This window comes from Homo sapiens, chromosome 12, assembly GCF_000001405.40.
Source record: "Homo sapiens chromosome 12, GRCh38.p14 Primary Assembly".
NCBI lineage: Eukaryota > Metazoa > Chordata > Mammalia > Primates > Hominidae > Homo > Homo sapiens.
This window is the reverse complement of record NC_000012.12, coordinates 128,069,245-128,074,636: the sequence shown is the minus strand read 5'-3', so window position 1 is coordinate 128,074,636 and position 5,392 is coordinate 128,069,245. Positions and strand designations below refer to the sequence as shown.

General features: G+C 43.5%; 1 long non-coding RNA gene across 1 annotated transcript; it reads left to right on the top strand.

Moving 5' to 3' along the window:
* Positions 1-330: 330 nt before the first annotated feature.
* LOC105370071 (uncharacterized) lies at positions 331-2,383 on the top strand. The gene is made up of 3 exons (XR_945534.2): positions 331-708; positions 1,667-1,799; positions 1,954-2,383. It is a non-coding gene; the product is annotated as an uncharacterized LOC105370071 (long non-coding RNA).
* The last annotated feature ends 3,009 nt before the right edge of the window (positions 2,384-5,392 follow it).

Genomic DNA, 5,392 nt, shown 5'->3' with positions numbered 1-5,392 from the left:
AGAGAGAGAGAGAGAGTTGTCTAATTAAATAAATATGCATTGTGTTCTACTGGAGACGGTGGCCTGCAGCAGACAAACAAAATATGATGCCAATCACGGTTTATTTCCCCAAAGCAGGGCTTTGTTTTTAGCACTCGTCAAAAATAGATTCCCATTTACAAGTACTTTGCTGTCAATAAAAATCCATTTTCAGCATGAATTTTCCTCTCTCCCAGCTCAACATGTGGATTTTGAAGAGAAAAGAATGTTCTACTTAAAAATAGCAGAGCCCTCCTCTATTTTTCTCTTTTCTTATTCCTGCCCTCCCTCATTTTCTGTTTCCAGACAGATTCTCTCCCTGGGCTTTTCTCTGAGCAAACCTATTTTGCTGGGGTGTGGAGGGAGCTCCTTTCATGGGACTGAAGAGCTTCCAGAATCCACAGAAGGTGCTGTCAGTGATAAAGCAAAAATGTTATGGACGCTGCAGGAAGCAAGAAAGCCCAACGTGACAGTCATGCGCGGCACTCGCGGGTCTCCAAGGGGGACAAACCCACCAGAAGCGTCCCGTGCCAAGAACAGAAGCAAGGAAAGGAGCGCTGTGAAGGAAAGAAAGAGAAAAGCGCTTTCCATTCTCCAACAACAGACGTGACACTACACTTTTAAAATTTCACAAGTTTCCAGATCTGTTCAAAGGCAACACTCGATCCCGGAGTTCAGTCTGCCTCAAAGGTGATACAAAGCAGGCGGAAATACCTTCTCTTTTCAGGTCTCGTGTGCTGGCCTGGAGCATTACAAAGTTTGTCCCTCCCGGTCGGGCGTGGTGGCTCACACCTGTAGTCCCAGCACTTTGGGAGGCTGAGGCAGGTGGATCACGAAGTCAGGAGATTGAGACCATCCTGGCTAACATGGTGAAACCCCGTCTCTACTAAAAATACAAAAAATTAGCTGAGTGTGGCGGCACATGTCTGTAGTCCCAGCTACTCAGGAGACTGAGGCAGAAGAATCGCTTGAACCCGGGAACTGGAGGTTACAGTGAGCCGAGATCATGCCACTGTACTCCAGCCTGGGTGACAGAGCGAGACTCTGTCTCAAAAAAAAAAAAATGAATGTTTGTCCCTCCCTTAGCATGTCCTAGGCAGAACATTAAATGTTGGGTTAATGATTCAAATTCTGAAGTTGGCATTTGTAACCCTGATGTGGTGGCATCAATTTTTGCTGAGCTCTTGGCCGCATTGTGTGTTGTGTGACCGGCCCTCCGATGAGATGCAGACACTCTGTGATCTCTTGGATCTGGGGAATTGCTCAGAATATTTTTTCACTTGTCTCTAATAGTGGGCTTTAAAAATTAGTCTATATTATTTCCATATTTTAAGGAGTTTATATGCAAAAAATAAGCAAATAAAGAATTGCAGAGCAATATGATACATGTCTTTTACCAGGGGATTAAAAGAACTGCATATTCATTGGGATTCTTGCTTTCAAGAAATGGGAATTGCAAATTAACATGAATATAAGAGTAACTACTAGCTCTCATAGTGGTTTTAGCCCCTCAACATTCTTGACTCGGCTCTTATTTTTGTGGGTTCCTTTCTTGCTCAGTCTCTCCCCTTGAGATTACCCAGAAAGTCTTCAGGGCTACGGCATCAGCAAGTCCAGAGTGAGAGTTCTTTTTCTCACTTCTTATTAGGTCTGCAAAAGTCTTGAAACTGAGTTTCATTGGCTACGATTGAGACATGGGCCTGAACCAATTACTGAGGCTGCAAAGTGAATCGTTCTAATGGGTCACACAGGCTTCACACTCCCACTCCTGAAGCCAGATGGTAGGTGGGGTATGGTGGGTAGGGGTCAGGTCCTTCCTCACTGTATGTGCTGAGGAATGTGTACTTGGACAGACAGCACAGCACAGAAACAAATATAGAAGCAGACATAAAACAGATGCTCCATAAACGCTAACACAATAGTTTCTTCTCTCAGGAACTTCAAAGCTCTTAAGGAAATTAACGAAAATGCAAGCCTTTTTGTGATGAGAAGCATACCAAGAGCCGAAGGAGAGGGTGAATAATACCAGTGTATGTTTCAGTTAGGATGATTTCAAAAGCAGGTATGAAATATTCTCCTCCAAGTAGCTTGTCCAATGGGGTTGCTACGGTTTCAACAATAAGAGGCGTGGAGGAAGGCAGTCAAGAGATGGCTTGAGGGCCCAGCAGAGTCATTGAAGACCTAGAATATCTCCATTCGTTTGCTCAATCATTCTTGCCATATTGGCTTTTTATCCTTAGGCATTTGTCTTCATGGTTGCAATACAGCTGCTGCAGCCCCAACCATCACACCTTCATAAAGTACTAACCAAAGACAGGAAGACCAGGGAATGGGTAAGAGGCCTCCTAATTCATCTCAATTTATATCATGGAGAACAAAATAACTTTTGTCAGAAGCAGTAGAAAGGTATCCTTTAATAATTTTTTGGGCAGAACTGGTCTGTGGACACCAATACTTATAGAAATGGCTGGAGAGTGCGTGTCTGACATCTTCAGTTTCGATAATAGATGGTGGCCTTCCCCATAGAGAAAAATAAATGGTGGAAAGACCGGGGGAACATTCTAAGGACATGAAGAAGAGAACAAATTCAGAAAAGGAAGAGTTTCATAATGTGTTGACTTGAGAGATGGTTATTCATGGATACTCAGGAGAGTCATAGGGACATTCCAAGAGGGGAAAAACTAGAAGGAGGTCTGTGGGTACAAGTATCCCTAAGGGAAGATTAAACTTTGGAAGTAACAACAGAAAAACACTGGAACGAGGGGGATACATTTGGAGAAGACAAATGGAGCAAAATTACCATAGATTCGAACACTTAGAATCTGGGGATTTCAATGTTTTTGGCCAGAGGCAGTGGCCTCCATATGGAATCAGACCCCATAAGGAATCTGGAGCTCGTGTGTTTTTCCTTGTGATTTTTTTGGGGGGACCATATACCATTTCCAGCATTTAAATATTGAGAGCCACCTCACGGGCTTCTCTTGGAAAACTGGAAGATCTGGCAAGTCTGAGCTCATGCCCTTCACAGCAGCAATTGGCTGACACTAGACAGTAGCCGCCACCCATTGAAATGGGCCTGCCCGCTCCCATTCCTCAGGACACTCCCGCATCCAGCTTCCCTCACCTAGAGTCCCTGCCTGGCCTCTGGAGGCATGAGGGGTGTGGCCCCAGGTTAGGCAAAGGGGCAGCTGTTGACCCTCTGCAGGTGAATTTCCAGGAGCAGACAGAACTTCAGGTTGATTTTGGGTCACACCTGCTGGAGCCAACATGGGGCCAGAAAATCGAGGAGTCAGGTGCCTGTGGTCGTCGTCCCTCCCTGTCGCCTGCGTGGGTATAGGTCTCCGCAGGAGTCTACAGGTTTCGTTGTGTTTAACTCAAAAGCCAGTCAAAGCTGTGAGGGTCATGTTGTCCCTAGGCCCCCGTTCCTTTCTTTTATAATATAAATTTGCTCATTTTAAATCCTTTAGTTGAGCATCAGGGAAGGCATGAACAGGCATCCCCTAGTGACTCTCCAGCAACAGCAGATTCATCCAAATCTTTCAGCCATCGGCTCCTGGATATGCCTCCACGGCTGCTCTGAGGAACTGAAAATCTCTTAGGGAATTCAGCAAAAATGCAGACCTTAGAATATTTTTTGCCTCGTCTTTAAATAATGAGGTTTAAAAATCAGCCTATGTTATTTCCAAATTTTAAGGAGTACACATGCAAAAAAAATTTAATCAAACAAAGAATCACAGAAGCAATCTGATACATGTCTTTTGGGGGGATTAAAGGAAATATGTACAGTTGGGATTCTTGTGTGAATAAATGAGAGGCCTGGGCATGGGCCCGGTGGCTCACACCTGTAATGCCAACATTTTGGGAGGCCGAGGGGGGCCGATTGTTTGAGTCCAGAAGTTCAAGACCTGCTTGGGCAACATGGTAAAATCCAATCTCTACCAAAAATACGAAAAAATTTGCTGAGTAGAGTGGTATGTGCCTGTAGTCCCAACAACTCAGGAGGCTGAGGCGGGAGGATTGCTTGAGCCCAGGAAGCAGAGGTTACAATGAGTCAAGATGGTGCCACTGCACTCCAGCCTGGGTGACCGTGTCTCAGAGAAACAAAAAACAAAGAAAGAAAAAGAAAAGAAAAAAGAAACAGAAAAAGAAAAGAAATAGGAACTGTAAGTTATATTGCTAAGAACATAAGGGTCTTTATGAGCTCGCACACCTTATTAACTCTCACAACCCCTATATTAAAGGCATTTCTGGGCTCTGAGACCTACCTCTTTCCAAAGTGTGGGTGGGACACATCTTTACCTTGTAGCATAGATTCACCTGAGAATGTAAATGGCCCGTAAGGATTATAAGCTTTGATCCTGAAATGTATTTGCCAATTGCTTGTTGTGTTTACCAGCTGTCTCTGTTTAATGGGGAGTCCATAAGCATCTCTAAAGCGAATGCACGTGGTAAGCCCATTTCTAGATTTGTTTCTAAGTCCTGAATCTTTACTCCTATCTACTCCTACAGATATTCTGAGCAAGGGCCTTTTTGCTGCATGCCCCAATCCCTGTGAACACTGAGATAGTCTGCACATCCTGAGTAATCCATTTTGAAATGGTCTGGTATATACTAGGTGCTCAATAAAAATAAGGTATTGTTATTATTAATAGTACATTCTTCATTATTTCGCCGAACACATATTAATTAAACACTCACTCTGTTACCAGGCCCTGTGAGCAAAAGGGGAGAGAAGACAATTTACTGAGGCTAAAGTTAACCATCCCAGATTTCATCACCCACATTTCATGGCTTAGGGAAGAATAAGGTAAACTCCCTTCTCCAAATCTTCTTTGATCTTAAGCATATAGCCTTAACATCTGGAACTTACATTTAATAGGTTCAATTGTGGAGTTACACGATGATGGATTCTCATTTTTTCTGTTTGGAATTGGAGACGAAGCAATCATCACCAGGTGATTTACCTTGGCGAGAAAGTTGAAGAATTGACACTACAGTACGCTGCCACCAGGTGGCAGTCAATGCCTTTATCTTAGAGCTCGAACCACTAGCCGACCTCAGCATTACTAGTTCCAGTTTATGAGGAATATCAATAGTGTGAATATGTGATTAGTAATATTATGAATTGTAGGAATGTTATACTGTGGTTTACCATATCATAGACTTTTTAGGCACGTTATCCACGTTTAATCTTCACAGCAGCTTTGCGAAATAGTGTTATTTCCATTTCGTTAACAAAGAAGGGAAGGTTCCTAGGTTGACTGAGCTGCTGGAGGCCACACGAATCTTAGGTTGTGGACTTAAAACCACCAGACCCTCGATCCTGTCCTCATTCTATTCCACTTAGAGTTTTCGGAGTGCTGTTAATTTTCAA